This window comes from Homo sapiens, chromosome 5, assembly GCF_000001405.40.
Source record: "Homo sapiens chromosome 5, GRCh38.p14 Primary Assembly".
NCBI lineage: Eukaryota > Metazoa > Chordata > Mammalia > Primates > Hominidae > Homo > Homo sapiens.
Genome location: NC_000005.10, coordinates 75,120,002 through 75,141,178, shown reverse-complemented (window position 1 = coordinate 75,141,178; position 21,177 = coordinate 75,120,002). Strand labels below are relative to the sequence as shown.

The 21,177-nt window shown below is 39.0% G+C and overlaps 1 protein-coding gene across 15 annotated transcripts in view; it reads left to right on the top strand.

Moving 5' to 3' along the window:
* Positions 1 to 21,177, top strand: part of ANKRD31 (ankyrin repeat domain 31) — a 168,582-nt gene that overhangs the window by 95,700 nt on the left and 51,705 nt on the right. For all 15 annotated transcript variants that reach the window (NM_001164443.1, NM_001372053.1, XM_017009319.2 and 12 more), the window contains 2 exons: positions 2,196 to 2,333; positions 3,181 to 3,323. In NM_001164443.1, the coding sequence (NP_001157915.1) occupies positions 2,196 to 2,333; positions 3,181 to 3,323 (281 nt within the window). The remainder of the gene's footprint in view (positions 1 to 2,195; positions 2,334 to 3,180; positions 3,324 to 21,177) is intronic.

Here is a 21,177-nt window from a genome sequence, read left to right as displayed (position 1 = left end):
TTTTTATCTCTTGCCCTGAAACCATATGCATGGTTGATGACATTTAGGAAGTAGAGCAAGAAGATTGTCCCAAAGTTTAATGCAGTGATTCTCAAACCTTAGTTTGCATCAGAATTACCTGAAAAGCTTGTTAAAACACAGATTGCTGGGCCCTACCCTCAAAGAATCTGATTCAGTAGTTGTCTCTATTACACACTTATTGTCTCATACTTTCTGTAGGTCAGGAATCAGGCATGGCTTAGTTGGGACCTCTAACAGAATTGTTCGTAGGCAGCAAAGTGTTGGCCAGGACTGGGGTCTCATCTGAAGGCTCTACTAGGGAAGGATACACTTTCAAGCTCATGTGATTGTTGGCAGAATTCAATTTCTTGAGGATGGTTGGCTGAGGGCCTCAGTTCCTCACTGGTGATTGGCTGGTGGCCATCCTCAGTTTCTTGCTGGGTGGGCTTCTCCAACATGGCTACTTGCATCATCAAAACTTACAAGCTGAAGGCAATACAGCAAGTCTGCTAGCAGGACAGAAAATGTTACAATCTCTTTTAACTTAATCAGTTAAATGAAATACCCTCAATATGGAAATATTCTATTGGTTAGAAGCAAGCTATTCAAGAGAAGAAGAGTACACAAAGTCATAAATACCAGATGGTGAGGATCATTAGGAGCCATTTTAGTCTGTCCTCCAAAGTAAGTTTGGAGTGGACTGGGGAATTTGCATTTCTAACAAGTTTCCTCCATGGTGCCGATACCACTGATTTAACGAATATTTTCTGTTTCTTCACCCTATCCGTTTATTTTGCTTTGCATCTCAGTCTGAAGCTTCTCTAATGCAGTTCCTTCCTTCCTTCCTACCTTCCTTCCTTCCTTCCTTCCTTCCTTCCTTCCTTCCTTCCTTTCTTTCTCTCTCTCTCTTTCCTTCCTTCCTTCCTTCCTTCCTTCCTTCCTTCTTTCTTTCTTTTCTTTTCTTTTCTTTTTTTTGAGACGGAGTGTATCTCTGTTGCCCAGGCTGGAGTGCAGTGGTGCAGTCTTGGCTCAGGGCAACCTCCACCTTCCAGGTTCTAATGATTCTCCTCCCTCAGTCTCCAGAGTAGCTGTGATTACAGGCATCCACCACCATGCCCGGCTAAGTTTTGTATTTTTAGTAGAATGCTGGGATTACGGACATCAGCCACCGTGCCTGGCCCTGATGCAGTTTCTATAGAAAACAAACCTTCAGGTTCCTGGCTTTGGGTCGGAGATCTGGGATAAGAGAAGTGGTTGCTAGTCAGTTGAGGGTTGGGGAAGGAAACTTGGAGTCCCAACTTTTCTATGTAAAAGATCTTATATAAAAGATATTAACCAACTGCCCAGCGCCCACGCCCACTGTTCCACACACCTGCCTTCCATAGTGCCTCATTTCCCCAAGTGTGGAGTGCGTGAGTTCAGATTGGCTCTCTCTCTACAATTCCCTTTGCAGGCACTTGTGTTGGAGCATTCCCCATTCTGCCAAGTCAGTTCACTGTTCTCCATCATTGACTTTCTAATCCCCCCAAATGTGTTGAAGTCTTTGTCCTTTATTGTTTCCTCTTTCATTTTTTTAATATGGTACTTTAAAATTTCTTTTACTGTCATTTTAGCATGGTTTTGGCAGGAAATAGGGGGAAAACATGATCAGTTCATTACTTTTAGTTCCAACTTAAGTCTGTCTAACTTGTATTGCAAGGAAGAGATTTAAAAAACAAAATCTTTGGTTAATGATATTGTACAGCACATTTTGTGAAAGAAAAATGGAAAACCATAGGCCATAGTTTGTTACTTGGCACCTATGTGATCAGGAATACACCCATTGAGATACAGAATGGCTGTAGAAAGATGATTTTTTATAATATCTCAGTTATCTTGAGAAAAATATTATTCATTATTAAAGGACTACTGAGAATTAGATGAGTATAGATAGAACTGAAGCAAGTTAATTTGTTTTAATCAAGTGTTTGATAGAGTGATTAATCAACTGCTAGAATGAATACAAAGTAATGTGCTTAGATGCTTATTATTTCTTCAGAAATTATATATTAAAACAATAACAGCAATGATAACATTAATTGATATATGTTTCTGTGTAGTGTGGTATTTTGAGGAAGTTGTTATGTATTTTCTAAGATCCTTTATAACAATCAGCATTTGGCAGAAAATAAACCTCTTGTTTGGCAAATTTACAGGAATGAAAGCAGGTAGGATCAACAAGAGGAATGCCAGAGGGGAAAGCCAGCTTCATTTAGCTGTCAGAAGAGGAAATCTGCCCCTAGTGAAAGCCCTGATAGAATCTGGAGCAGATGTGAATCTAAATGATAATGCAGGTTTGGATCCTTTTAATTTAATTACCTTTATAATTTGAACTCACTGAAATACACATTTCAACACCTCCTGCCCCCTCCAATTTGTTCCTGGCTGATATGTAAGTGATAACTTTGAACAATCTTTTTTATATTATATTAGTGTTTAGTTGAATACTAAGATTTATCATTGTTAAAAGACCTTTTTCCTTTGAAACAGTTTTTAACATCCATTTGGGAGCATCAGAGAGGGTAGACAGAACGGGGAGTAAAGGGAGTTAGGCCTTTTCCTTGGAAGCCTCAAGTTTATCCTGTAACTTTGATGAGAATGCAGAATTTTCTCATTCTCCTATCCCTTCTTCTCTTTTCTCCTCCTTTTATACTGTTCCTTTTTCTCTCTTTATTTTTATTCTAAAACTATGAAAAATTTACCTAACATTTTGCTTAAGCACAAAAGAATCTTCTCTGAAGAATTCCACAGGGAAAAACTCAAAGGTTAATTAAACCAGGTGTCATTTTAAAGAGAAATGTGGCAATGCAAAGATACACATAGGAAAGTCAGACGTTTTAATATCTGAGTTGAAACAAATCAAAATGAGTAGTATTTACTCTCATTGTGTTTTGCATTCTGTGAGTCTTTTGCTTTGGCACTTATATCAACAAATATTTGTGATGAGACCAATTTGTTTCCAAAATTAAACATAAATTATAAGTCCATAGTTTTTTGTATTATTTCTTGTTCAATACTTAGTATATACATATGAATCAATATGGATATTGCATTAATGCAACAAAACCTTAGTAATACAGATATTACATGAGTATTGATTCGCATGAAGCAGGGTTTTTTTTTTTCTTTTTCTTTTTTTAGGTTGGACACCACTTCATGAGGCATCTAATGAAGGATCTATTGATATAATTGTAGAGTTATTAAAAGCTGGTGCTAAGGTTAATTGTGAAAATATAGATGGAATTCTGCCCTTACATGATGCTGTTGCAAACAATCATTTAAAGGTACAGTGCACATCACATTAAGATCTTACTACTTTTTCTTAGGAAATGAATGAAGAAAATGAAGATTTTTTAAACTGAGAACTAAAATGATTCAGTAAAACAAGTGATTTTTTTAAAACCTGCTTCAAATTACAAATGAAGATACAATAATATATATGGATTAGAAAATCTATGTATCCTAATGAATCATTTCTCCATTATTTCTTCATCACAAAATACATGCAAGTCAGAAGAGAGTAAAAGTAAACACAACCCATAAATCTAATACATTATATTTTTAATTGTCTAAGATAATTTGCTGTTGTGCACAGAAGAGTCTAATTATAGTGATGATATGTGTGACAGCTAGATTTTTTTAACTTAAAATTTCTCAGTGGGTTAGGGGTAAAAACAGGAATCATTTGTTTTCCGGGTGTTTGTTGCATCTTTTTCTCTTTTGTTTTTCTTTATCAAGCACCCGTTGTAAAAATATCACAAGAAAAGATTACGAGGATCATTATTTCAATGACACTGACTTTCAAATCTCGACCTTAAGATTCTTCAGATGTTTACACTCATCTTTCTGTTTGACAAAGCATAGGAGAAAACCCTTATTGTTATCCATAGACAATATAGACCAGTAATAATTTTTTCTATTGTTACTATTTGTTTTATAATAAAATATTTTTAATTAAAGTATCTACTTTTTTTATTATTATACTTTAAGTCCTAGGGTACATGTGCACAACGTGCATGTTTGTTACATAGGTATACATGTGCCATGTTGGTGTGCTGCACCCATCAACTCATCATTTACATTAGGTATATCTCCTAATGCTATCCCTCCCCCCTACCCCCACCCCATGACAGCCCTGGTGTGTGATGTTCCCCACCCTGTGTCCAAGTGTTCTCATTGATCAGTTCCCACCTAAGAGTGAGAACATGTGGTGTTTGGTTTTCTGTCCTTGTGATAATTTGCTCAGAATGATGGTTTCCAGATTCATCCATGTCCCTGCAAAGGACATGAACTCATCCTTTTTTATGGCTGCATAGTATTCCATGGTGTATATGTGCCACCTTTTCTTAATCCACTCTATCATTGATGGACATTTGGGTTGGTTCCAAGTCTTTGCTATTGTGAATAGTGCCACAATAAACGTACATGTGCATGTGTCTTTATAGCAGCATGATTTATAATCCTTTGGGCATATACCCAGTAATGGGATGGCTAGGTCAAATGGTATTTCTAGTTCTAGATCCTTGAGGAATCGCCACACTGTCTTCCACAATGGTTGAACTAGTTTACAGTCCCACCAATGGTGTAAAAGTGTTCCTATTTCTCCACACCCTCTCCAGCACCTGTTGTTTCCTGACTTTTTAATGATGGCCATTTTAACTGGTGTGAGATGGTAACTCATTGTGGTTTTGATTTTCATTTCTCTGATGGCCAGTGATGACGAGCTTTTTTTCATGTGTCTGTTGGCTGCATAAATGTCTTCTTTTGAGAAGTGTCTGTTCATATCCTTCACCCACTTTTTCATGGGGTTGTTTGATTTTTTCTTGTAAATTTGTTTAAGTTCTTTGTAGAGTCTGGATATTAGCCCTTTGTCAGATGGGTAGATTCTAAAAGTTTTCTCCCATTCTGTAGGTCACCTGTTCACTCTGATGGTAGTTTCTTTTGCTGTGCAGGAGCTCTTTAGTTTAATTAGATCCCATTTGTCAACTTTGGCTTTTGTTGCCATTGCTTTTGGTGATTTAGTCATGAAGTCCTTGCCCATGCCTATGTCCTGAATGGTATTGCCTAGGTTTTCTGCGGTTTTTATGGTTTTAGGTCTACATTTAAGTCTTTAATCCATCTTGAATTAATTTTTGTATAAGGTGTAAGGAAGGGATCCAGTTTCAGCTTTCTGCATATGGCTAGCCAGTTTTCCCAATACCATTTACTAAATAGGGAATCCTTTCCGCATTTCTTGTTTTTGTCAGGTTTGTCAAAGATCAGATCATTGTAGATGTGTGGTATTATTTCTGAGGGCTCTGTTCTGTTCCATTGGTCTATGTATCTGTTTTGGTGCCAGTACCATGCTGTTTTGGTTACTGTAGCCTTGTTGTATAGTTTGAAGGCAGGCAGCGTGATGCCTGCAGCTTTGTTCTTTTTGCTTAGGATTGTCTTGGCTATGCGGGCTCTTTTTTGGTTCCATATGAACTTTAAAGTAGTTTTTTCCAATTCTGTGAAGAAAGTCATTGGTAGCTTGATGGGGATGGCATTGAATCTATAAATTACCTTGGGCAGTATGGCCATTTTCACGATATTGATTCTTCCTATCCATGAGCATGGAATGTTCTTCCATTTGTTTGTGTCCTCTTTTATTTCGTTGAGCAGTGGTTTGTAGTTCTCCTTGAAGAGGCCCTTCACATCCCTTGTAAGTTGGATTCCTAGGTATTTTATTCTCTTGGAAGCAATTGTGAATGGGAGTTCACTCATGATTTGGCTCTCTGTTTGTCTGTTATTGGTGTATAGGAATGCCTGTGATTTTTGCACATTGATTTAGTATCCTGAGCCTTTGCTGAAGTTGCTTATCAGCTTAAGGAGATTTTGGGCTGAGACGATGGGTTTCCTAAATATACAATCATGTCATCTGCAAACAGGGACAATTTGACTTCCTCTTTTCCTAATTCAATACCCTTTATTTCTTTCTCCTACCTGATTGCCCTGGCCAGAACTTCCAAAAGTATGTTGAATAGGAGTGGTGAGAGAGGGCATCCCTGTCTTGTGCCAGTTTTCAAAGGGAATGCTTCCAGTTTTTGCCCATTCAGTATGATATTGGCTGTGGGTTTGTCATAAATAGCTCTTATTATTTTGAGATACGTCCCATCAATACCTAGTTTATTGAGAGTCTTTAGCATGAAGGCTGTTGACTTTTGTTGCAGGCCTTTTCTGCAACTGTTGAGATAATCATGGGGTTTTTGTCTTTGGTTCTGTTCATATGATTGATTACGTTTATTGATTTGCATATGTTGAACCAGCCTTGTATCCCAGGGATGAAGCCCACTTGATCACGGTGGATAAGCTTTTTGATGTGCTACTGGATTCGGTTTGCCAGTATTTTACTGAGGATTTTGCATTGGTGTTCATCAGGGATATTGGTCCAAAATTCTCTTTTTTTGTTGTGTAGAGACACAACAGGCTTTGGTATCAGGATGATGCTGGCCTCATCAAATGAGTTAGGGAGGATTCCCTCTTTTTCTATTGATTGGAATAGTTTCAGAAGGAATGGTACCAGCTCCTCTTCGTACCTCTGGTAGAATTTAGCTGTGAATCCGTCTGGTCCTGGACTTTTTTTGGTTGGTAGGCTATTAATTATTGCCTCAATTTCAGAGCCTGTTATTGGTCCATTCAGGGATTCAACTTCTTCCTGGTTTAGTCTTGGGAGGGTGTATGTGTCGAGGAATTTATCCATTTCTTCTAGATTTTCTTATTTATTTGCGTATAGGTGTTTATAGTATTCTCTGATGGTAGTTTGTATTTCTGTGGAATCGGTGGTGATATCACCTTTATCATTTTTATTGTGTCTATTTGATTCTTCTCTCTTTTCTTCTTTATTAGTTTTCCTAGTGGTATATCAATTTTGTTGATGCTTTCAAAAAACCAGCTCCTGGATTCATTAATATTTTGAAGGGTTTTTTGTGTCTCTATCTCCTTCAGTTCTTCTCTGATCTTAGTTATTTCTTGTCTTCTGCTAGCTTTTGAATGTGTTTGCTCTTGCTTCTCTAGTTCTTTTAATTGTGATGTTAGGGTGTCTATTTTGATCTTTCCAGCTTTCTCTTGTGGGCATTTAGTGCTATAAATTTCCCTCTACACACTGCTTTAAATGTGTCCCCGAGATTCTGGTATGTAGTGTGTCTGTTCTCGTTGGTTTCCAAGAACTTCCTTATTTCTGCCTTCATTTCGTTATGTACCCAGTAGTCATTCAGGAGCAGGTTGTTCAGTTTCCATGTATTTGAGCGGTTTTGAGTGAGTTTCTTAATCCTGAGTTCTAGTTTGATTGCACTGTGGTCTGAGAGACAGTTTGTTATAATTTCCGTTCTTTTATATTTGCTGAGGAGTGCTTTACTTCCAACTATGTGGTCAATTTTGGAATAGGTGTGGTGTGGTGCTGAAAAGAATGTATATTCTGTTGATTTGGGGTGGAGAGTTCTGTAGATGTCTATTAGGTCCCCTTGATGCAGAGCTGAGTTCAATTCCTGGATATCCTTGTTAACTTTCTGTCTCGTTGATCTGTCTAATGTTGACAGTGGGGTGTTAAAGTCTGCCATTATTATTGTGTGGGAGTCTAAGTCTCTTTGTAGTACACTAAGGAGTTGCTTTATGAATCTGGGTGCTCCTGTATTGGGTGCATATATATATTTATGATAGTTAGCTCTTCTTGTTGAATTGATCCCTTTACCATTATGTAATGGCCTTCTTTGTCTCTTTTGGTCTTTGTTGGTTTAAAGTCTGTTTTAGCAGAGACTAGAATTGCAATACTTGTTTTTTTTTTTGTTTTCCATTTGCTTGGTAGATCTTCCTCCATCCTTTTATTTTGAGCCTATGTGTGTCTCTGCACGTGAGATGGGTCTCTTGAATAGAGCACACTGATAGGTCTTGACTCTATCCAATTTGCCAATCTGTGTCTTTTAATTGGAGCAGTTAGCTCATTTACATTTAAGGTTAATATAGTTATGTGTGAATTTGATCCTGTCATTATGGTGTTAGCTGGTTATTTTGCTCGTTAGTTGATGCAGTTTCTTCCTAGCATCGACGGTCTTTACAATTTGGCATGTTTTTGCAGTGGCTGGTACCGGTTGTTCCTTTGCATGTTTAGTGCTTCCTTCAGGAGCTCTTGTAAGGCAGGCCTGATGGTGACAAAATCTCTCAGCATTTGCTTGTCTGTGAAGGATTTTATTTCTCCTTTACTTAGGAAGCTTAGTTTGGCTGGATATGAAATTCTGGGTTGAATATTTTTTTAAGAATGTTGAATATTGGCCCCCACTCTCTTCTGGCTTGTAGAGTTTCTGCCAAGAGATCCACTGTTAGTCTGATGGGCTTCCCTTTGTGGGTAACTCGACCTTTCTCTCTGGCTGCCCTTAACATTTTTTCCTTCATTTCAACTTTGGTGAATCTGACAATGATGTGTCTTGGAGTTGCTCTTCTTGAGGAGTATCTTTGTGGCGTTCTCTGTATTTCCTGAATTTGAATGTTGGCCTGCCTTGCTAGATTGGGGAAGTTCTCCTGGATAATATCCTGCAGAGTGTTTTCCAACTTGGTTCCATTCTCCCGTCACTTTCAGGTACACCGATCAGATGTATATTTGGTCTTTTCACATAGTCCCATATTTCCTGGGGGCTTTGTTCATTTCTTTTTACTCTTTTTTCTCTAAACTTCTCTTCTCGCTTCAGTTCATTCATTTGATCTTCAATCACTGATACCCTTTTTCCAGTTGATCGAATGGGCTACTGAAGCTTGTGCATGCGTCACATAATTCTCGTGCCATGGTTTTCAGCTCCATCAGGTTATTTAAGGTCTTCTCTATGCTGTTTATTCTAGTTAGCCATTCGTCTAATCTTCTTTCAAGGTTTTTAGGTTCTTTGCGATGAGTTTGAGCATCCTCCTTTAGCTCAGAGAAGTTTGTTCTTACCGATCGTCTGAAGCCTTCTTCCCTCAACTCGTCAAAGTCATTCTCTGTCCATCTTTGCTCCATTGCTGGCGAGGAGCTGCGTTCCTTTGGAGGAGAAGAGGCGCTCTGATTTTTAGAATTTTCAGCTTTTCTGCTCTGGTTTCTCCCCATCTTTGTGGTTTTATCTACCTTTGGTCTTTGATGATGGTGACATGCAGATGGGGTTTTGGTGTGGATGTCCTTGCTGTTTGTTAGTTTTCCTTCTAACAGTCAGGACCCTCAGCTGCAGGCCTGTTGGGAGTTGCTGGAGTTCCACTCCAGACCCTGTTTGCCTGGGTATCACCAGCGGAGGCTGCAGAACAGCCAATATTGGAGAACGGCAAATGTTGCTGCCTGATCCTTCCTCTGGAAGCTTTGTCTCAGAGGGACACCTGGCAGTATGAGGTGTCAGTCGGCCCCTAATGGGAGGTGCCTCCTAGTTATGCTACTTGGGGGTCACAGACCCACTTGAGGAGGCAGTCTGTCCGTTCTCAGATCTCAAACTCCATGCTGGGAGAACCACTACTCTCTTCAAAGCTGTCAGACAGGGACGTTTAAGTCTGCCGAAGTTTCTGCCATTGTTTGTTCAGCTATGCCTTGCCCCCAGAGGTGGAGTCTACAGAGGCAGGCAGCCTTCCTTGAGCTGTGGTGGGCTCCACCAATTTTGAGCCTCCCCGCTGCTTTGTTTACCTTCTCAAGCCTCAGCAATGGTGGACGCCCCTCCCCCAGCCTCGCTGCCACCTTGCAGTTTGATCTCAGACTGCTGTGCTAGCAGTGAGTGAGGCTCTGTGGGCGTGGGACCCTCTGACCCATGCACAGGATATAATCTCCTGGTGTGCTGTTTGCTAATGAGAGGTGATAACGTGCTAGCAACCCTCGCTCGCTCTCGGTGCCTCCTCGGCCTCGGCATCCACTCTTGCCACGCTCCAGGGGCCCTTCAGCCTGCCGTTGCACTGTGGGGGCCCCTTTCTGGGGTTGGCAGAGCATGGAGCCCACTCCCTCTTCTCATGGGGAGGTGTGGAGGGAGAGGCACAGGTCGGAGCTGGGGCTGCGTGTGGTGCTCACGGGCCGGTGCTGGTTCTGGGTGGGTGTGGGCTCGGTGGACCCTGCACTTGGCACAGCCAGCCAGTACCTGCTGGGCTTGATAGGAGGCTGGGTCCCGTGCATGGACCACCGTTCTCTCTTTGTGGGGCCGTTGGCCAAAATGGCGGTTCTCCATCTCTTTCTCACTTCCCCTCTTTTCCTCTTGGTTGTGTGGGACGAGCTCCCTCTGGGCTACCGGAGTGCCCGGGCTAGGTGCTGCAAAGTCCCGTGGTGAGTGCCAGTGAGAGGTGAAGCTGTCTGGGCTTCTGGGATGGGTGGGGACTTGGAGAACTTTTCTGTCTAGCTAAAGGATTGTAAACGCACCAATCAGTGCTCTGTGTCTAGCTAATTGGGTGGGGACCCGGAGAACTTTTCTGTCTAGCTAAAGGTTTGTAAATGCACCAATCAGCACTCTGTGTCTAGCTAAAGGTTTGTAAATGCACCAATCAGCACTCTGTGTCTAGATAATCTGGTGGGAATTTGGAGAACTTTTGTGTCTAGCTAAAGGATTGTAAATGCACCAATCAGCGCTCTACGTCTAGCTAAAGGTTTGTAAATGCACCAATCAGCACTCTGTCAAAACGGACCAGTCAGCTCTCTGTAAAATGGACCAATCAGCTCTCTGTAAAATGGACCAATCAGCTCTCTTTAAAGTGGACCAATCAGTAGGATGTAGGTGGGGCCAGATAAGGGAATAAAAGCAGGCCACCAGAGCCAGCAACAGCAACCCACTGAGGTCCCTTTCCACACTGTGGAAGCTTTGTTCTTTTGCTCTTTGCAATAAATTTTGCTGCTGCTCACTCTTTGGGTCTGCACTACCTTAATGAGCTGTAACACTCATGGTGAAGGTCTGCAGCTTCACTCTTGAAGCCAGCGAGACCACGAACCCACTGGGAGAAACAAACAACTCCAGACGTGCCACCTTTAAGAGCTGTAACACTCACTGCAAAGGTTTGCGGCTTCACTCCTGAGGTCAGTGAGACCAAGAACCCACCAGTAGGAAGAAACTCTGGACACGTCCGAACATCAGAAGGAACAAACTCTGGACACGCCATCTTTAAGAACTGTAACACTCACCACGAGGGTCCACAGCTTCATTCTTGAAGTCAGAGAGACCAAGAACCCACCAATTCTGAACACACTACGACCACTGGAAAAGCTCAGTATTAGGGTAGGAGTGTCCCGATTTTCCAGGTACCATCTGTCATGGCTTCCCTTGGCTAGGAAAGGGAATTCCCTAACCCCTTGCACTTCCTGGGTAAAGTGATGCCCTGCCCTGCTTCGGCTCACACTCCGTGGGCTGCACCCACTGTCCGACAAGCCCCAGTGAGATGAACCTGGTACCTCCGTTGGAAATGCAGAAATCAACCATCTTCTGCATCGCTCATGCTGGGAGCTGTAGACTGGAGCTTTTCCTATTCAGCCATCTTGGGACCTCTTCAGTAATAATTATTGGTTTGAAAAAATAGTTAAGGAAACCATCAAGAACAATATAAAAAAATTCCTTGGATCCTTCATTGATACCTATTTATCTATCTCTAGATATTTTAAGAACCTGGTAACTTTTTAATGTAATTTTGTGAAAGGATATTCTTGCTGTTTTCAGCCTACACATAGCCATGTGGAGGATGTTATTACTGAATTTATGATCTGCTAAAAGATGTGAATTAATGATTAAGAATATACCAGAGTGGGTGAGCTAATGTCCGATGTGGCTTCTTTTGGCTAAAAGAAGCTGTATTAGTTTGTTCTTGCATTGCTATAAAAAACTACCTGAGGCTGGGTGCTTTATGAAGAAAAAAGGTTTGATTGACTCACAGTTCTGCAAGCTATACAGGAAGCATGACTGAGGAGACCTCAGGAAACTTAAAATCATGGTGGAAGGTGAAGGGTAGTAGGCACTTATTCACATGGTGGAGCAGAGACAGAGAGGGAAGGGGGTGATGCTACACACTTTTAAACCACCAGATCTTGTGAGGACTCTGTCAAGAGGTAGCACTAGGGGGATGGGGCTAAACCATTAGAAACCACCCTCATGATCCAATCACCTCCCACCAGACCCCACCTCCAACACTGGGGATTACAATTCAACATGAGATTTGAGTGGGGACTCAAAGCCAAACCATGTTAGAAGCCCTTTGGCCTTTACAGTATTTAAATTTAAAAAGAATAGACAAATTATCAAGATCATATGGTCACAAAATGGAAGAAAGGAAACAGAATTATTAAAGTGATGAACCTGCTGGTTTTTTATAGAGGGAAAAGACCACTTAAAGTGAAACCACTTGGCCAGGCATGTTGGCTCATGCCTGTAATCCCAGTACTTTGGGAGGCCGAAGCAGGCAGATCATGAGGTCAGGAGATCGAGATCATCCTGGCTAACACAGTGAAACCCCAACTCTACTAAAAATACCAAAAAAAAAAAAAAAATTAGCTGGGAATGATGGCAGGTGCCTGTAGTCTCAGCTACTTGGGAGGCTGAGGCAGGAGAATGGCTGAACCTGGGAGGCGGAGCTTGCAGTGAGCCAAGATCGTACCACTGCACTCCAGCCTGGGCAGCAGAGCCAGACTCCATCTCAAAAATAAATAAATAAATAAAATAAAGTGAAACCACTTAAATAATGATCAAAGTTTCATAGTGGGAAAATCAGGTTTTTCAACATTATCCTGAGGAATGCTCTCACTTCTTTTTTATTTTTATTATACTTTTGGGATACATATGCAGAACGTGCAGGTTTGTTACGTAAGTATACATGTGCCATGGTGGTTTGCTGCATCCATCAACCCACCATCTACATTAGGTATTTCTCCTAATGCTATCCCTCCCCTAGTCCCCCACCCCCTGCCAGGCCCCAGTGTGTGATGTTCCCCTCCCTGTGTCCATGTGTTTTCATTGTTCAACTCCCACTTATGAGTGAGAACATGCAGTGCTCTCACCACTTCTGATCAGTATTATGCTGAAGTTTCTAGCCAGTTCAGTAATGGAAGAAAAATAAATAAAAGATGCACATGTATTTGGAAAGTAAAAAGGAAAGCTCTCTTTGTTTCATATAATATGACAATGAAAAACTGCTTCTATTTCATATGACATGATAAAATAATTTACTAGAATTAATAAGTGAATCTAACACGGACTCAACTGTATTTCTCTATAACAGCAATGAACAATTGGAAGTTGAAAATTTAAAAATACCATTTATCATTATATCAAAATATTAAATAATTGGGGGTAAATGTTACAAAATATGTCCAAGACCTTTACACCTTTACACTGAATACCTCAAAACATTGCTGAGAGTAATTAAAGAAGACCTAAATAAATGAAGTGATATATTGTGTTCATGGCCTAGAAGACTCAGTATTTTTCATGTGTCATTTCCACCCAAATTGATCTATAGATTCAGTACAAATACAATAGTCTTAACAGGAATTTTTGAAGAAATTGTTAGGCTGATTCTAAAATTGATATGGAACTCAAAATAGCTTAAAATAGCTGAGACAAATTTGAAAAAGAATAATGTTGGACGATTTATATTATCTATAGTGTGTAGATATGTATTCCATAGCTATAGTAATCAAGACAGTATGTTACTAGCATAAGTTAGATTAGGATTTCTGAACCTTGACATAAATGACATTTGGGGCTAGATATTTCTTTCTTAAAGAGTGCTGTCCTGTACTTTTAGGATGTCTCATAGCTTCTCTGACCTCTACTCACTAGATGCCAGAAGCACCCATATCCTCTAGTTGTGACAACCAAAAAATGTCTCTAGACATTCCTGAATTTATCCTGGGGCACAAAAATCATCCCCAGTTTAGGAACACTGAGTTTTACTTATACAACAATTGAACAAAATACAAGCATTGAGAAATAGACCCTCATATATGTGTTCAGTTGATTTTTTTTTTTTTTTTTGAGATGGAGTCTCACTTTGCCACCCAGGCTGGAGTGCAGTGGCACAATCTCTGCTTCCTGCAACCTCTACCTCCTGGGTTCAGGTGATTCTCCTGCCTCAGCCTCCTGAGTAGCTGGGACCACAGGCACACACCACCACACCCAACTAATTTTTTTGTAGTTTTAGTAGAGATGGGGTTTCACCATTTTGGCCAGGCTGGTCTTGAACTCCTGACCTCAGTTGATCTGCCCACCTCAGCCTCCCAATTAGTTGATTTTTAACAATGGTGCAAAGGCAATTCAATAGAGAAAGTATACTCTTTCAGCAAATGGAATTGAAATCCTTGGATTTCCATTTTTTTAAATGAACCCTTAATTTTCATCATATATAAAATTACAACTTGTCTCTATTTGGGGATTGCTGAGCTTCCTGTGTCTGGATGTCTAAATCTCTTGCCAGACTTGGGAACTTTTCAGCTATTATTTCATTAAATAGATTTTCTATCCCTTTCGTGCAAAATGGTACACTTGGAAAAACAATTTGGCAATTTTTATTACCTGAAACATATTACATATTTACAAAGTATTGGACCACCCCTTGGTGTTTTTTTACCTAAGAAAAATGAAAGCTTTTTGTCCACACAAAGACTTGTACTAGAATGTGGATAGCAGCTTTATTCATAATAGTCTCTAACTGGAAGGGACCCCAAATGTCTATCAGCTGGTAAATGAATAAGTTGTTAAAAGGAACAAACTTTTTTTTTGAGATGGAGTCTTGTTCTGTCACCCATATTGGGGTGCAGTGTCACGTTCTCTGGTCACTGCAACCTCTGCCTCCCGGGTTCAAGCAATTCTCCTGCTTCAGCCTCCCAAGTAGCTGGGATTACAGGCATGCTCCAACATGCCCACCTAATTTTTGTATTTTTAGTAGAGACGGGGTTTCAGCATGTTGGCCAGGCTGGTCTCGAACTCCTGACCTCAGGTGATCCACCCACCTTGGCCTCCCAAAGTGCTGGGATTACAGGTGAGAAACAAACTGTTGATATACACAACAATATGGGTGAATCTTAAAATCATCATGCTAAGTCAAAGAGACCAGACACAAAAACTGCATTCTGAGCTCATTCATGTGAAATTCTACAAAAAGCAAAATGTAAAGCAATAGAGGCAGATCATTGGTTCCCAGAGACCAAAGAGTCTTGGTAAGTGATTGCAGAGGGGCAGAAAGGATTTTTTGTGATGGTAGAATGTCTCTAAGTCATTATTGTAGTCGTGATCACTTCAGTAAGCCTGATTTTTTTTTAAACAGGTAAAAGGCCTATTTCTTGGTCACATAATCTTTGCCAATCTCTTCGGCCCTCAGGCCCACTCCATCATGTTACCTAGAGCTCCCTCCCAACTTTAGCTTTAGCTTTTCCTGTTTAGTGCCTTGTTACCCTGTTGCTGTTTAGACTTTTCCTGTGGATGACTATTACTGAAAAACACTATCCAGGGTCCCAGTGTCTCTGAGCTGAGTTCTCTGTGTTCTCCAAATTAATATATTAAGTGAATCTTTTTTTGTATATTAAAGTCGAGGCCTAGAGAAGGCCTCATCTTAACACATTGGCAGAATAGTCATTATTAATATAGCATATGTTTTTAAGACTCTAGAAGTTTACTTTTCTGAAATTCACTTTCTGTCTCCTCCATATAATGTTTGAAATAAATTTCTGCAGATTAAGGCCTACATCTCCAGTTTGCTAAATTAATCTCGAGATGGTCTCAGGAATCTGTGTTTTAAAAGAATGCAACAAGTTATCTTACTGATCAATCAGGCTTAGAAACTACTGGATTGAGGTAGTTTCTGACCCCATCTTTTAAAAACAGATAAATAAAATCTTCATAAAATCTAAATAAATAGAAAAATAAAATATTTTATCGTTTCATACCTTTACTCAGACTTCACTAAGGTGTACAAATGCAGATTTTATCAAAAGTCTTTGCAGAATACTTTTTCACCTGCCATTATCTGCTGTCTTTTCACTCTCTAAAAGAAAGCAGGGTATTATGGAGCTAGTTTTATTAGGTGACTACTATGTGCCAGACATTTTACAAGGGCTCACTATTTAATTCTCATAGATAATAAAAATGAAGTTAGAGATGATAAGTAACTTGGCCAAGGATGTAGCTAATAAGTACCAGGAGTGAGGTTTGTGCTTGGCTTTAAAACAAGGGTATTTTTCTTTTTTAATATATTTGTATAAATTTAAAGGGTACAAATGCAGTTTTGTTAAATGGATATATTGAGCAGGGATAAATTCTGGGCTTTTAATGTAACCATCACTCAAATAGTGTACATTGCACTCATTAATTAATTTCTCATCCCTCAACCCCCTCCCACCCCCTACCCTTCTGAGTCTCCAGTGACTATTATTCCACACTCTGTCCATGTATACACATTATTTGGCTCTTACTTATAAGTGAGAACATCCAGTATTTGACTTGTTCCTGAATTGTTTTCACTTAACAACATGGATGGCCTCCAGTTCCATCCATGTTGCTGCAGAAGACATGATCCCATTCTTTGTTATGGCTGAGTAGTATTCCATTTTGTGTGTGTGTGCATGCACGTGTGTGCGTGTGTGTGTGTTATTTACCACATTTTATTTATCCGGTCATCCACTGGTGGACACTAAGGTTGATTCCATATCTTTGCTATTGTGAATAGTGTTACAGTGAACATTTGAGTACAAGTATCTTTTTAATATGATGATTTCTTTTCCTGTGGGTATATACCCAGTAGTGAGATTGCTGGATTGAAAGGCAGTTCTACTTTTAGTTATTTGGGAAATCTCCATACTGTTTTCCATAGAGGTTGTACTAATTTGCATTCCCACCAACAGTGTATAAGCATTCCCTTTTCTCCACATACTCATCAACATCTGTTGTTTTTTGTCTTTTTAATAATAGGCATTCTATTGGCATAAGATGGTATTTCATTGTGGCTTTAACATTTCTCTGATGATTAATGATGTTGAGCATTTTTTCATATGCTTGTTGGTCATTCGTGGGTCTTCTTTTAAGAAATGTCTATTCATGTCCTTTGCCAGTTTTTTAATGGGGCTATTTGTTGTTTTGTTATTGTTGTTGAGTTGTTTGAGTTACTTGTAAATTCTGGATATTAGTCCCTGTTGGATTCATAGTTTGCAAATATTTTCCCCCTATCTGCAGGTTGTCTGTTCACTTTTTTTTATTATTCCCTTTGCCATGCAGAAGCTTTTTAGTTTAATATAGTTTCATATGTCTGTTTTTGTTTTCGTTGCTTATGGTTTCAAGGTCTTATGAATTCTTTGCCTAGACAAATGTCAAGAAGAGTTTTCCCTAAGTTTTCTTATAGAATTTTTATAGTTTCAGATCACAAATTTAAGTCTTTGATTTGTCTATATTTGATTTTTTATATGATTAGAGACATTCTTCTACGTATGGCAATCCAATTTTCCCAACACTATTTATTGAAAAAGATATCTTTTTCCCAGTGTATGTTCTTGTCAGCATTGTCAAAGATCAGTTAGCTATAGATATGTGGCTTTATTTTTGGGTTCTCTATTCTTTTATTCTTTTACCTTGATCTATGTGTCTGTTTTTATGCCAGTACCATGCTTTTTGATTATTATAACCTTGCAGTATAATTTGAAGTCAGGTAATGTGCTCTCTCTAGCTTTGTTCTATTTGCTTAGGATTGCTTCTGCTATTCAGACTGTTTTTTGGTTCCATATGAATTTTAGGATGGTTTTTTTCTCATTCTGTGAAAAGCGATGTTGGCATTTTGATAGGAATTGCATTGAATCTGTATATTGTTTTGGAAGTATTCTCATTTTAATTATATTAATTATTCTGATTCATGAACATGAAGTGTTTTTCCATTAGTTTATGTCCCCTGCAATTTCTTTCATCCGTGTTGTATTTTTCTTTCTTTCACCTCCTTGGTTAACTATATTCCTAGGTATTTTATTTTATTTTTTGTAGCTATTGTAAATGGGATTGCCTTCTTGATTTGGTTTTCAGCTGGATTATTATTGGTGTATAGAAATGACACTCATTTTTGAATATTGATTTTGTATTCTGAAATCTTACTGCTTACTCAATTCAATTATCAAACTTAAGAATTTTTTGAGGAGTCTTTAGGCTTTTCTAGGTTTACGAGCATATTATCAGTGAACAGAAATAAATTATTTCTGACTTCCTCTTTTCCAACTTGGATGCCTTTTCTTTCTTTCTTTTGCCTGATTGCTCTGGCTAGGACTTCCAGTACTAAGTTGAACAGGAGTGGTGTAAGTGGGCATTCTTGTCTTATTCTAGTTCTTAGGGGAATTGTTTTCAGCCCTTCCCAATTCAATATGATATTGGCCATAAGTTTGTTGCATATGGCCTTTATTATTTTGAGGTATGTTTTTTCTACTATGCCTAGTTTGTTGAGAGTTTTTATCATGAGGGGATGTTCAATTTTATCAAATGCTTTTTCCACATCTATTGAAATGATTATGTAATTTTTGTCTTTAATTGTGTTTATGTAATAAATCACATTTATTGGTTTGTATATGTTGAGCCATCCTTGCATCCCTGGAATACAACCCACTTGGTCATGGTGTGTTATCTTTTTGATGTGCTGGTGGATTCAGTTTGCTAGTATTTTGTTAAGGGTTTCTGCATCTATCTTCATCAGGGATATTGGTCTGTAGTTTTTTTTCTGTTTGTTTGTGTTCTTGTCAGACTTTGGTGTCAGGGTGATACTGGCTTCATGGAATGAGCTAGGGAGGATTCTCTCCTGCTCAGTTTTTTTTTGGAACAGTTTCATTAAAATTGGTACCAGTTCTTCTTTGTATGTTTGATAGAATTTACTGTGAGTTCATCTTGACCTAGGCTTTTTTTTTTGTTGGGAGGATTTTTTTTATTGGTCTGTTCAGGATATCTAGTTCTTCAAGGTTCAGTCTTTCGAGGTTTTATGTTTCCAGGAATTTATCCATTTCCTTTAGGTTTTCTAGTTTGTGAGTGTATGGTAGAGTCTGATGATCTTTTGTATCTCTGTGGTATCAGTTACAATGTCTTCTTCATTTCTCATTATGTTTATTTAGATATTCTTTCTTCTTGGTTAGTCTAGATAGCAATTTATCAACTTGTTTATCTTTTCAAAGAACTGACTTTTCAATTCAGTGATCCTTTGTTTTTGTTTTGTTTGGTTTGGTCTCCATATCATTTAGTTCTACTCTGATCTTTGTTATTTCTTTTCTTCTGCTAGCTTTGGGTTTGGTTTTTTCTTGTTTTTCTAGTTCCTTGAGGTATGATGTTAGGGTGTTAATCTGTAATCTTTCTATTCTTTTGATATAGGCATTTGATGCTATAAACCTCCCTCTTAGCGCTGCTTTGGCTGTATCCCAGAGGTTTTGGTATATTCTGACTCCATTTTCATTTGTTTCAAAAATTATTTTAATTCTTTCTTAATTTTGTCATTGAACCAAAAATTATCTAGGAGTGTGTTGTTTAATTTCATGTATTTGTATAGTTTTGAGAATTCCTCTTGATATTGATTTCTAGTTTTATTCCATTGTGTTCTGAGAAAATACTTGATATGATTTCAATTTTTTTCCATTTTTATTGAGGCTAGTTTTGTGGCCTAACATATGGTCTATTTGGGAGAATGTTTCATGTGCTGATGAGAAGAAGGTATATTCTGCGATGTTGGATAGAATGTTCTGTAAGTGTCTGTTGGGTCCATTTGGTCTAAAGTTCAATTTAACTCCTGTGTTTCTTTCTTGATTTTCTGTCTCAGTGATCTGTCTAGTGCTGTGACTCGGATGTTCAAGTGCCCCAGTATTATTGTATTGCTATCTGTATCTTTCTTTAGGTTTAGTAACATTTGTTTTATGAATCTGGGTGCTCCAGTGTTGAGTACATATGTATTTAATATTATTATAACCTTTTGTTGAATTGATATCACCCTTTATCATTAAATATCATTTTCCACCCCTCTATCTTTTTTTTTTTTTTTATATAGAGTCTCACTCTGTCAGCAGGCTGGAGTGTAGTGATGCAATCTCAGCTCACTGCAACCTCTGCCTCCCAGGTTCAAGTGATTCTCCTGCCTCAGCCTCCTAAGTAGCTGGGATTACAGGCGCACGCCACCACACTCAGCTAATTTTTGTATTTTTAGTAGAGACGGGGTTTTACCATGTTGGTCAGGCTGGTCTCAAACTCCTGACCTAATGATCCGCCTGTCTCGGCCTCCCAAAGTGCTGGGATTACAGGCGTGAGCCACCGCACCCTTTATCTTTTGTCTATGTGTCTTTACCAGTAAAGTGAGTTTCTTGTGGGCAGCATATAGTTGGTTCATTTTAAAAATCCATTCTGCCTATCTATATCTTTTAAGTGGAGCATTTAATTCACTTACATTCAAGGTTAATATTGATACGTGAGGTTTTCTTCCCGTCATGTTGTTATCACTAGTTGTTTTATAGATTCTTTGTTTCTTCATTTTTTTTCTTCTGCGTCTTTGTGATTTGGTTCAGTTTTTTCTTTATGCTATGCTACCTCTAGACTAGTAGAAAAACTAAGAGGTTATCCTTAATAATTTCTACTGGCCCATTTGCTCCTAAATTTATCTGCCTCTTTATCCTTGGACACAAGCAGAAAGATTAAAAACATACTTTATCCACTGGCATATAGTATGTCTCCATTTTAACAAAATCCTGACCATCTTTTCCTAACTAGAAAGTTTTTCAGTGGTGAGTTACTTGCTTGCCTCTTGCAAGTGGGATCATTGTTTTTCACTAATTGACTTATACTATAATTTTTTTTTTTGAGACAAGGTACAGTGGCACTATCACACAGCTCACTGAAGCCTTGACCTCCCAGGGTCAAGTAATCCTCCAGCTTCAACCTCTCAAGTAGCTGAGACTAGAAGTGTGTGCCACCACACCCAGCTAATTTTTTACTTTTTTATAGAGAAGAGGTCTCCCTATGTTGCACAGGCTGGTCTCGAACTCCTGGGCTCAAGCAGTTTCCTGCCTCAGCCTCCCGAAGTGCTGGGATTACAGGCATAAACCACTGTTCCTGGCTGACTTATACCATAATCTAGTTAGTAACGATTCTTTACATTGGTCAATTATAAATTTATTTTTAACACACAATTTAAGAGTTACTCAGAGCAACCTTATTTATATTAGACATT